At 48.9% G+C, this 12980-nt stretch overlaps 1 annotated feature.

Moving 5' to 3' along the window:
* Positions 7898–8398: an enhancer, noted in NCBI's record as "H3K4me1 hESC enhancer chrX:1883833-1884333 (GRCh37/hg19 assembly coordinates)". NCBI's record gives its function as "activates a minimal SCP1, AML or CMV promoter by ChIP-STARR-seq in naive H9 embryonic stem cells {active_cell/tissue: H9 hESC(naive)}" and the evidence as "EXISTENCE:reporter gene assay evidence [ECO:0000049][PMID:30033119]".

The following is a 12980-nucleotide window of genomic DNA, read 5'->3' on the forward strand; positions in this document are numbered from 1 at the left end:
ACCAGCGCAGGAAGTCACCTGCTGTGTACAAGTCAGACATGCAGGATGTCAGATTACTATCTCCAGCAAACAGTCCAGGAAGGCAAACAATATCTTCAGGCACCATGGGCCCTAAACAAGATTTGATTCATAACCACCAGATTTCCTAATGTTTGCCCCTGATTTAAAATTAGATGGCTGGCCGTGGTGGCTCACACCTGTAATCCCAGCACTTTGGGAGGCCGAGGCGGGCAGATCACGAGGTTAGGAGATTGAGACCATCCTGGCTAACATGGTGAAACCCCATCTCCACTAAAAATACAAAAAAAAAGTAAACTGGCATGGTGGCAGGTGCCTGTAGTCCCAGCTACTTGGGAGGCTGAGGCAGGAGAATGGCATGAACCCGGGAGGCGGAGCTTGCAGTGAGCAGAGATCATGCCACTGCACTCCAGCCTGGGTGACAGAGCGAGACTCTGTCTCAAAAAAAAAAAAAAAAAATTAGAAAGCTGAAGAGACACCGTCCTAACCAATCCCAGGGGTGCCCCACTTCTCATGAGCCTCCTACAGCTTTAGAATGTGGACAGCCTCTAATTAGGGCATGCCTGCAGTCTTCCTGATTCTCCTATCTGGGGTTCCTGCTTTTACATTTTTGCTAAATGCAAGGGACGGTGGCTGCCTCCCTTGGTATAGCAAGCCCTGGATAAATCGTTTCTTCTTGCTCGCTGTTGGGTGAGCTTCTATTATTTCCATAGTGACCAGTCATCATCACCTTGTCATCAGCAGCATGTCAATGTAGCGTGGAAAGTGGGGCTGGTGGATGGAGATGTCTTTTGCAGAGCCAGGGATTCCACGTGGAGCATTTACATTGGGACATTCACTGTTGAGGGTGCTTCCCCTCTCCCCTGCAGACCACCCCCACCAAGGGTCAACCCAAGACCCCCAAGCTCACTTTCTTTCCTCCAGGTCTTCACTCTGATGTCAAGTCGTTTCATCTCTCTGAGTTCCTCTTTCTTTATTTGCTAGAAAGGGATCCTGCCCTCCCTTTCCTATGACTCTTAGGTTTGTTCTGTGATAAGGTGATTCAAGGGGTAGACACTGCTTCATAAGCTGACCCACAGTGACTGCTGGAAATGAAAGAGGTTGGCTGGGCTCAGTGCTTCATGCCTGTAGTCCCAGCACCTTGGAAGGCCATGGTGGGAGCATTGCTTAAAGCTGGGAGGATCGTTGGAAGCCTGGGCAACATGGCAAGACACTCATCTCTACAAAAATAAAAATAAATTATCCAGGTGTGGTGGTGTGTGCTTGTAGTCCCAGCTACTCTGACGGCTGAAGTAGGAGAATCCCTTGAGCCTAGGTGTTTGAGACTGCAGTGAGCTAGGATTGCATCACCTCACTCTAGCCTGGACAACACAGTGAGACCCTACCTTCAAAAAAAAGAAATTAAAAAAACAGCTCACCCTTCATTTCCACACCACTGATGTTGGCAGTTGTGATGCTAGAAGTGAAATTGGTCCTGTTCTCTCTTTGCAAATAATTTCATTTAGACTTGAGGGGGTCTCCTTCTAGCTCCTAGTTTCTTTGTGTATCTGTGTGTGTGTGTGTCAGAGAGAGAGAGCAAGACAGAGAGAGAGAGACAAGGATATTTTTCTCTTTTGGTGTTCAGTGGATAGGCGTCCAGGAAGGAGTGTTTGCTGGTTTTCTGGGGAGTAAAATAAAAACAAATGTGGATTTAGATAAGAAAGAGATTTGAAAAGACAATTACAGGCTGGGTGTGGTGGCTCATGCCTGGAATCCCAGCACTTTGGGAGGCTGCGGTGGATCACTTGAGGTCAGGAGTTCAAGACTATCCTGGCCAACATGGTGAAACCTTGTCTCTACTTAAAAAAAAAAAAAAAGAAAAAGAAATAGCCGGGCGTGGTAGTACACAGCTAAAATCCCAGCTACTCCAAAGGCTGAGGCTGGAGAATCACTTGAACCTGGGAGGTGAAGTTTGCAGTGAGCCGAGATTGCACCACTGCACTCTAGCCTGGGCAACAGAGCGAGACCCTGCCTCAAAAACAAAACAACAACAAAACGATAAAAGAAAAGAAAAGACAATTGCAGTAGGGAGATTGCTTGACTGTAAGATTTGTAAGCATCTCAAAGACTCAGGCAGAAACAAATTTCATTTATAGGGAGAGGCATGTCAGAATAATTGATCAGGAAATACTTCCCCTTGTCGTTTGTTGATTTTTCAGGAGGGGTTGTTGAAGAGGGGCTGTCCCACGTTCCAACGTACGAGGGTGTTCAGAGGAGCTGGGGGTGGGTGGGGGAGGAGAAAACTTCAAGTTTGGTCCACAAGCACTTTATTCCTATTGATTGTGGGGATGAACAGGTCAGCTAGACATTTACAAAGGAAAGAAGGAATTTGGAGGCCAGGCACTGTGGCTCACACTTATAATCCCAGCACTTTGGGAGGCCAATGCGGGTGGATAACCTGAGGTCAGGAGTTCAAGACCAGCCTGGCCAATATGGTGAAACCCGGTCTCTATTAAAACTACAATGTTAGCTCGGCCTGGTGGAGCATGCCTGTAATCCCAGCTACTCGGGAGGCTGAGACAGAGTTGCTTGAACCCTGGAGGCAGAGGTTGCAGTGAACCAAGATCACGCTATTGCATTCCGGCCTGGGCAACAAGAGCATAACTCTGTCTCAAAAAAATAAAAAATAAATAAAAATTTAAGAAGAAAATAAAAAGAAGGGATTTGGAGAGTCTGGTCTGGCCTTGCTCTGGAGATCAAGAGGAAGGCAGCCATGCATCTTTCCTAAGTCATGAGAGAAAGGCAGGAGTTTACAGCAAGTCACTTCTCAGAATACAAAAAGGTAAGGGGGATTGAGACTATCCTGGCTAATGCAGTGAAACCCCATCTATACAACAACAAAAAATTAGTCAGATGTGGTGGTGCATGCCTGTAGTCCCAGCTACTTGGGAGAGGCAGGAGAATGGCGTGAACCCAGGAGGCAGAGGTTTCTTCCTTCCTTCCTTCCCTCCCTCCTTCCCTCCTTCCTTCCCTCCTTCCTTCCTTCCCTCCCTCCTTCCCTCCTTCCTTCCCCTTCTCCTTCCTTCCTTCCTTCCTTCTTTCCTTCCTTCTTTCCTTCCTTCTTTCCTTCCTTCCCCCCTTCTTTCTCTCCTCTCTCTTTCTTTCTCTCTCTTTCTCTCTCTCTCTTTCTTTCTTTGATGGAGTCTCACTCTGTCACCCAGCCTGGAGTGAAATGGCACATTCTTGGCTCACTGAAACGCCCACCTCCCAGGTTCAAGTGATTCTTCTGCTTCAGCCTCCTGAGTAGCTGGGACTACAAGCGTGCACCACCACACCCAGCTAATTTCTGTATTTTTAGTAGAGATGGGGTTTCAACATGTTGGCCTGGCTGGTCTTGAACTCCTGACCTCAGGCGATCTGCCCATGTCGGCCGCCCACAATGGTGGGATTACAGGCATGAGCCACCCCACCTGGCCCAGGTAGGGGGATTTCTTACCCTTCACTGTTTTCTAGAAACACAGTGCTCAGAAAACGTTCAATAGTGTCTGGGACAAGATACTTAGGTCATTTGAGGGTCTTTTAAATAAAAGAATAAAAAATTACGTATACACATTTAGACATGAAAGAGAATTTTTGTTTAGAATAAAATCACAGCAAATTGCAAAATCTGGAAAAGCTGATGGGCAGCCTCCAAAATCACAGGATTTACAGAACTAACATTGTTATGCATTCACCGTCAGACCCAATCCTATTTCCCCTACAACTTCTAGCCGGAAGGTCTTTGATCAGCGATTTTTGTCTCATCCATACAGGCACGGGAAAGGTATTTCATTCTTTCCTGTAGCACAGCTGACTGTCATTTATTTATTTTTCAGACTTTAGAAAAGTATCTTTGAGCCGGGCGCGGTGGCTCACGCCTGTAATCCCAGCACTTTGGGAGGCCGAGGCGGGCGGATCACAGGGTGAGGAGATCGAGACCATCCTGGTTAACATAGTGAAACCCCATATCTACAATAAAATACAAAAAAAATAGCCAGGCGTGGTGGCGGACACCTGTAATCCCAGCTACGTGGGAGGCTGAGGCAGGAGAATCGCTTGAACCCAGGAGGTGGAGGTTGCAGTGAGCCGAGATCACACCACTGCACTCCAGCCTGGGCAACAGAGCAAGACTCCGTCTCAAAAAAAAATAATTGAGCATCGTAATTTCTTATTTATTTTGAGACGGAGTCTTGCTGTTTTGCCCAGGCTGGAGTATAATGGTGCAATCTCGGCTTACTGCAACCCCCGCCTCGCGGGTGCAAGTGATTCTCCTGCCTCAGCCTCCCGAGTAGCTGGGACTACAGGCACCTACCAGCACATCCGGCTAATTTTTTTTTTGTATCTTTACTAGAGATGGGGTTTTTCCGTGTTGGTCAGTCTGGTCTTGAACTCCTGACCTCAGGTGATCCAGCCATCTCGGCCTCCCGAAGTGCTGGGGTTACAGGTGTGGGGTACTGCACCCAGCCAATTTCTGTTTTTTGTTTTTTGTTTTTTTTTTGAGATGGAGTCTTGCCCTGTCGCCAGGCTAGAGTGCAGTGGTGCGATCTCGGCTCACTGCAACCCCCGCCTCCTGGGTGCAAGCGATTCTCCTGCCTCAGCCTCCTGAGTAGCTGGGACTACAGGCCCCTGCCAGCACATCCGGCTAATTTTTTTTTTTGTATTTTTACTAGCGATGGGGTTTTTCTGTGTTGGTCAGTCTGGTCTTGAACTCCTGACCTCAAGTGATCCAGCCATCTCAGCCTCCCAAAGTGCTGGGGTTACTTACAGGTGTGGGTCCCTGCACCCAGCCAATTTGTTTTTTTGTTTGTTTGTTTGTTTGAGATGGAGTCTTGCTCTGTCACCAGGCTGGAGTGCACTGGTGCGATCTCGGCTCGCTGCAACCTCCGCCCTCCCGGGTTCATGCCATTCTCCTGACTCAGCCTCCCAAGTAGCTGGGATTACAGGAACCTGCCATCAAGTCCGGCTAATTTTTTTTTGTATTTTTAGTAGAGAAGGGGTTTTTCCATGTTGGTTCAGCCTGGTCTTGAACTCCTGACCTCAGGTGATCTACCCCCTCAGCCTCCCACAGTGCTAGGATTACAGGCGTGAGCTACTGCACCCATGTCAACTATGGGGAAAAGCTCATTAATTTTCTCTTCTATAAAATTTGAAAGATTTCTTGACGTTGCAGTTTCTTTTCCCATGATCATTTATCTCAATCTCATTTGAATTGACAGCATTCATTAGCTCGTTGGTTCTCAGTGTTCTCAGAGTAGCAGTATTTCAAACATTGTATGCTACCTACGTTGATGTTGTACTTTTTCCTAAATTGCTAAAAAATAGAAGGGTTTTTGCAATGAGATAATATGAGTGACTTTTTTTTTTTTTTTTTTTTTTTTTTTTGGAGATGGAGTCTCACTTTGCCATTCAGGCTGGAGTGCAGTGGTGCGATCTCGGCTCACTGCAACCTCTGCATCCCGGGTTCAAGCAATTCTCCTGCCTCAGCCTCCCGAGTAGCTGGTACTACAGGTGCCTGCCACCACGCCCAGCTAATTTTTGTATTTTTAGTAGAGATGGGCTTTCACCATGTTGGCCAGGATGGTCTCAATCTCTTGACCTCGTGATTCACCCACCTTGGCCTCCCAAAGTGCTGGGATCACAGGTGTGAGCCATGGTGCCCGGCCTCTTTTTCTTCTTTTTGTTCTTTTGAGGCTGCGAATGGATTGGATAAGGCCATCCCATGTTGGAGAAAATGATCTCCCTTTCTCAGGCTACCAATTCAATTTCTAACATCACTGGGAAGCACCCTCACAGATACCCCAGAGTGACATTCAATCAGACATCTAAACACCCCATGATCCAGTCAAGTTAACACATAATATTGTTCCAACCTCATTCTAGATATAAGAAGGGCCCTAAATGCAATGACAGCTGTTCTAAGAGACAGAAGAGGAGACGCAGACACAGAGGAGAAGGCCACGTGTAGACAGAGGCAGAGACTGCAGTGATGTGGCCACAAGCCCAGGGATGCCTGGAGCCCCCAGGAGCTGGGAGAGGCAGGAAGGATCCTCCTCTAGAGCCTCCAGAAGGAACTGGATACAATTGGAATGGGTTATATGGTGATCCCCAAAATATATGTTTATTTCCTTTTCCCCAGAACCTATAAATGCAATCTTACTTGGAAACAGGATCTCTGCAAATGTAATTAGTGAAGGATCTTGAAATAAAACCTGTCCTAGATTAGGGGGTCCTAAATGCAAGGACAGGTGTCCTTCTAAACACAGAAGGGGAGACCCAGACAGAGGAGAAGGCCACATGGAGACAGAGACTGGAGTGGTGTAGCCACGAGCCCAGGAATGCTGGGAGCCCCTGGGAGCTGGGAGAGGCAGGAAGGATCCTCCCCTAGAGACTCCAGAGGGAGCCCAGCCCTAACATACCTTCATCTCAGACTCCTGGTATCCAGGATTATGTGAGCATACATTTCCATTTTAAGCCTTGAAGGTTGTGAAATCTGCCACGGCTGCCCTGAAGGTTGTGAAATCTGCCACGGCTGCCTTGAAGGTTGTGAAATTGCTCACGGCTGCCTTGAAGGTTGTGAAATTGCTCACGGCTGCCTTGAAGGTTGTGAAATTGCTCACGGCTGCCTTGAAGGTTGTGCAATTGCTCACGGCTGCCTTGAAGGTTGTGAAATTGGTCACGGCTGCCTTGAAGGTTGTGAAATTGGTCACGGCTGCCTTGAAGGTTGTGAAATTGCTCACGGCTGCCTTGAAGGTTGTGCAATTGCTCACGGCTGCCTTGAAGGTTGTGAAATTGCTCACGGCTGCCTTGAAGGTTGTGCAATTGCTCACGGCTGCCTTGAAGGTTGTGCAATTGCTCACGGCTGCCTTGAAGGTTGTGAAATTGGTCACGGCTGCCTTGAAGGTTGTGAAATTGGTCACGGCTGCCTTGAAGGTTGTGAAATTGCTCACGGCTGCCTTGAAGGTTGTGCAATTGCTCACGGCTGCCTTGAAGGTTGTGAAATTGCTCACGGCTGCCTTGAAGGTTGTGAAATTGCTCACGGCTGCCTTGAAGGTTGTGCAATTGCTCACGGCTGCCTTGAAGGTTGTGAAATTGGTCACGGCTGCCTTGAAGGTTGTGAAATTGGTCACGGCTGCCTTGAAGGTTGTGAAATTGCTCACGGCTGCCTTGAAGGTTGTGCAATTGCTCACGGCTGCCTTGAAGGTTGTGAAATTGCTCACGGCTGCCTTGAAGGTTGTGAAATTGCTCACGGCTGCCTTGAAGGTTGTGAAATTGCTCACGGCTGCCTTGAAGGTTGTGCAATTGCTCACGGCTGCCTTGAAGGTTGTGAAATTGCTCACGGCTGCCTTGAAGGTTGTGAAATTGCTCACGGCTGCCTTGAAGGTTGTGAAATTGCTCACGGCTGCCTTGAAGGTTGTGCAATTGCTCACGGCTGCCTTGAAGGTTGTGAAATTGCTCACGGCTGCCTTGAAGGTTGTGAAATTGCTCACGGCTGCCTTGAAGGTTGTGAAATTGCTCACGGCTGCCTTGAAGGTTGTGCAATTGCTCACGGCTGCCTTGAAGGTTGTGCAATTGCTCACGGCTGCCTTGAAGGTTGTGAAATTGCTCACGGCTGCCTTGAAGGTTGTGCAATTGCTCACGGCTGCCTTGAAGGTTGTGAAATTGGTCACGGCTGCCTTGAAGGTTGTGAAATTGGTCACGGCTGCCTTGAAGGTTGTGAAATTGCTCACGGCTGCCTTGAAGGTTGTGAAATTGCTCACGGCTGCCTTGAAGGTTGTGCAATTGCTCACGGCTGCCTTGAAGGTTGTGCAATTGCTCACGGCTGCCTTGAAGGTTGCGAAAGTGGTCACGGCTGCCTTGAAGGTTGCGAAATTGCTCACGGCTGCCTTGAAGGTTGCGAAATTGCTCACGGCTGCCTTGAAGGTTGCGAAATTGCTCACGGCTGCCTTGAAGGTTGCGAAATTGCTCACGGCTGCCTTGAAGGTTGCGAAATTGCTCACGGCTGCCTTGAAGGTTGTGAAATTGCTCACGGCTGCCTTGAAGGTTGTGAAATTTGCCACGTCTGACTTGAAGGTTGTGAAATTGGTCACGGCTACCTTGAAGGTTGTGAAATTGGTCACGGCTGCCACTGCAAACTTTCGTATGGATAGAAGACCCCCTTTCTGACTCATCTGCACGTTCTGGTCTGGAATTTGGGATGGCAGTGAACCAGCTGCCCAGTGTATACTGATCTCTCCCCTTGTCTGTGTGTCTAGGAATGGAACAGCCATACAGCCAAGAAACCCACCACAAAGAGTGTTCTTGAATGTCCCAAACTGCAGGCAACTTTTCTGCTCTGGCCCATGGGCATGTCCTGGGAAGCTTGTGGTACAGAAAATCCAGCTTACAGCTTCCATCCGGGTAGAGCTGACCTTCCAAAGAGTGGAAGCTGTCTCAGTTCCTCGCCTGGTTGGGGGCAGATATCTGAAGGCATGGATGCTAGAGAGATTTCTCCTTGGCTAAGGTCCAAGGTTATTTTCTGGGTACTTCCTTGCTCGTGATATTATTTTGTGAGCTCTCTAAATGCTTTGGAGTGTTGAGCTTTACCCTGTTGTGTGTTGTGTATTAAGAAACGCAATTAGATCCCGTCTCTACAAAAGAAGAAAAAGTAGTGAGGTATGGCAGTGTGTGCACCTGTGGTCTCAGCTACTCTGGAGGCTGAGGTGGGAGGATCGCTTGAGGCTAGGAGGTCGAGGTTGCAGTGAGCTATGATTGCACCACTGCACTCCAGCCTGAGTGACAGAGCAAGACCCATCTCTTAAAAAAAAAAATGCAGCTGGGTGCGGCGGCTCATGCCTATAATCCCAGCACTTTGGGAGGCTGATGCGGGTGGATCTCCTCAGCTCAGGAGTTCGAGACATGGTGAAACCCCATCTCTACTAAAATACAAAAATTAGCTGGGTGTGGTGGTGCATGCCTGTAGCCTCAGCTACTTGGGAGGCTGAGGTGGGAGGATCGCTTGAGGCTAGGAGATCGAGGCTGCAGTGAGCTATGATTGCACCACTGCACTCTAGCCTGGGTGACAGAGCAAGATCTTGTCGCAAAACAAAAGCAAAACAAAACAAAAAAAAATGAAAACAAAAACAAAACACATTCATGCTTCCTCCCCCAGGATTGCAAGTGTGTTGTCTGGGAGCCGTTTCCTTTTTCCTCCCTTTTCCTTCACACCTCATTGAAACTGGCAATTGTACTTCCTACTCCCCAGGAATTTTTCCATTTCTACCACTCTCCGTCTCTCCACTACCCCCTGTTGCAAGCTCCTTGGCTGGGACACTCTCAGCGTGGGATACATCAGCCCATCTCCTCCCTGCTCTGTTGCCTTGGGGATGTGCCACCTCCCACCAACCACCTTGCCTCTCCATGCTGCGCACTCTTCACTCAGAAACTCGAGATGATGGCCGGGTGCAGTGGCTCACGCCTGTCATCCCAGCCCTTTGGGAGGCCGAGGCGGGTGGATCACAAGATCAGGAGATCAAGACCATCCTGGCTAACGTGGTGAAACCCCGTCTCTACTAAAAATACAAAAAATTAGCCAGGCGTGGTGGCAGGTGCCTATAGTCCCAGCTACTCGGAAGGCTGAGGCAGGAGAATGGCGTGAACCCAGGAGGCGGAGGTTGCAGTGAGCCAAGATCGTGCCACTGCACTCCAGCCTGGGTGACAGAGCGAGACTCCGTCTCAAAAAAATAAACTCGACATGATGATGGCTGTGTGTTCACCTGAGAGGTCCAGAGCTCCCCAGATAAACCACGTCATGCAAAAAAATGCTTTGAGACAACGACAGGCAAGCCCAGGTGGTACAACAGGACACAGAAACCATCCCAAAACAAACACTCATGATTCTCCTGTATGACACCAGGAGCCAGCTGTTTCTCACATGCCCCAGCCACCTCCCAGTCCCAAACCTTTCTTCCTTGGCCAGCTCCATGTCTTCCATTTGGAATGTCTTCCAGGGGTCAAGTCTGGGGTTCCCTGGGGTCCCCAGTTGGCCTCACACCGTGGATGCCCTGGGTATTGGCTCTGGACGATGACTTTTGAGCAGCTTTTCTGACAGCATCCACCACCTGTGGCTGCCTCCCTGGCAGAGGCGGTAACCATGGAAACGGGGAAGCCAGCCAAGGATCATCTGTGATGGGAGAGTGGGAGGGAAAAGGAGGCAGACAAAGGGGGCAGGCATCGGTTCATGAGTCGAAGGGCGTCGGCACCTGAGTGTGGTAGGCCTTTTACAATTCACACCTCCCCAGCGTGTCTACAGGTATCACGTCCCAGGCCCCCAGGAGGTAAGGAGGAGGGTGAGAGCTCCTCACATCTGTGGCTCCGTGGAAGAGGACGCGTCCTGTGCCTCCACACCACACCCTTGACATTGGCTGTTGTGATGCTCTGGGTATAATCAGTCCCTGCTCCAACTCTTTCCATGGCACTGAAGCCTGGATAACACAGTGTAAGACCTCATCTCTAAAAATAAGAAGGAGGCCAGGCACGGTGGCTTAAGCCTGTCATCCTAGCACTTCGGGAGGCCAAGTCGGGCTGATCACAAGGTCAGGAGATCGAGACCATCCTGCCTAACAAGGTGAAACCCCATCTCTACTAAAATACAAAAAAATTAGCTGGGCGTGGTGGCGTTTGCCTGTAATCCCAGCTATTCAGAAGGCTGAGGCAGGAGAATCGCTTGAACCTAGGAGGCAGAGGTTGCAGTGAGCCAAGATCGCACCACTGCACTCCAGCCTGGGCGACAGAGTGAGACTCTGTCTCAAAAAAAAAAAAAAAAAAAAGAATGAATACACAATAAGTCAACAAATAAATAAATACCTCCAGAGTGACTGCAGCCCAGAGGGCTTCTTTCTGTTTTTTTCTAGCACCATCCTATGTGGGGGTCTCCAAGAGCAATCCTCAGGTGTTGTGATACGGCTGCTAGGAGGTCTCCTGGGATGCTACATATAGTTATACTCACACTATGATTTCTTCTTATTTTTTATTCATTTTATTTTATTGTTTGTTTTAAGACAGAGTCTTGCTCTGTCACCCAGGCTGGAGTGCAGTGGCGCAATCTCTACTCACTGCAACCTCTGCCTCCTGGGTTCAAGTGACCCTCCTGCCTCAGCCTCCCAAGTAGCTGGGATAACAGGCACGCAGTCACTACATCCGGCTAATTTTTGCATTTTTTTAGTAGAGGTGGGGTTTTTCCATGTTGGCCAGGCTGGTCTTAAACTTCTGACCGCAGGTGATCTGCCTGCCTCGGCCTCCCAAAGTGCTGGGATTATAGGTGTGAGCCACCACGCCCAGCCTATTCATTTATTTGTTATTTGTTTATTTTTATTTTTAGAGATGGGGTCTCAGTCTGTGGCCCAGGCTGCAGTGAAGTGGAAGGAGGAAAAGAATGGGACCTATTTCACCTGGAGTGTCGCATCCACCAATATCAATGCTGCTGAAATGAAGGAGATTCTCTCTCTCTTTCTCTCTAGAGGTGGGGTCTCTGTGGCCCAGGCTGTAGTGCAGTGGGGCCATCATGGCTCACTGTAGGCTTGGCCCCCAGCCTGAAGCAATCCTCCCATCTCAGCCTCCCAAATAGGCCTGACTGCAGATGCTTACCACCACACCTGGCTAAATTTTCTATTTTTATTATTTTATTTTATTTTTTGAGATGGATTCTTGCTCTGTCGCCCAGGCTGCAGTGAAGTGGCATGATCTTGGCTCACTGCAACCTCTGCCTACCGGGTTCAAGTGATGCTCCTGCCTCAGCCTCCCAAGTAGCTGAGACTACAGGTGTGCACCACCACGCCCGGCTAATTTTTGTATTTTTAGTAGAGACGGGGTTTCACAATGTAGGCTAGGATGGTCTGGATCTCTTGATCTCATGATCCACCCTCCTTGGCCTCCCAAAGTGCTGGGACTACAGGCGTGAGCCACTGTGCCCAGCCCCCCTCCCCCACCCTTTTTTTTAAAAGTCTTCTGCAGTGGGCTGAAGTATGTCTCTGCAAAGTTTATGTCCACCAGAACCTCAGAAGGGAAACTTATTTGGAAATAAAGTCTTCGTGGACGTCGTTAAGATGAGGTTGCACTGGAATAGAGTGGGCCCTAAATCCAATGACTGGAGCCCTTGTAAGAAAAAAAGAGAACACACAAAGGAGAAGATGGAGACAGAGGTTGGACTGACACATCTATGAACCAAATGTGTTTGTCTGTTTTTATGCTGCTATAAGAAATACCTGAGTACCTGAGACTCAGGTATTTCTTGCTGCTATAAGAAATACCTGAGTACCTGAGACTGAGTAATTTATTAAGGAAAGAGGTTGAATCAACTCACACTTCCACATAGCTGGGAAAGTCTCAGGAAACTTACAGTCATGGCAGAAGTCAAAGGGGAAGCAAGCACTTCTTCACAAGCTGGTAGGAGAGACAGAGAGTGAGGGGGGAATAGCTAAACACTTATAAAATCATGAGATCGGCCGGCACGTGGTGGCCCATGCCTGCAATCCCAGCCCTTTGGGAGGCTGAGGCGGGTGGGTCACCTGAGGTCAGGAGTTCAAGACCAACCTGACTTACATGGAGAAACACTGTCTCTACTAAAAATACAAAATTAGCCAGGCACAGTGGCTCATGCCTGTAATCCCAGCTACTTGGGAGGCTGAGGCAGGAGAATTGCTTGAACCCGGGAGGCGGAGGTTGCAGTGAGCCAAGATCATGCCATTGCACTCCAGCCTGGGCAACAATAGTGAAACTCCATCTCAAAAACAAAAAACAAAAAAAAAAGAAAACAAAATCATATCTCATGAGCATTCACTCACTATCATGAGAACAGCATGGGGGAAACTGCCTCCCTGATCCAGTCACCTCCCACCAGTTCCCTCCTTGTACACCTGGGGATTTGACATGAGATTTGGGTGGGGGCACAGATGCAAACTATATCGCCA

The sequence above is a fragment of the Homo sapiens genome, chromosome Y (genome assembly GCF_000001405.40).
Source record: "Homo sapiens chromosome Y, GRCh38.p14 Primary Assembly".
Taxonomy (NCBI): domain Eukaryota; kingdom Metazoa; phylum Chordata; class Mammalia; order Primates; family Hominidae; genus Homo; species Homo sapiens.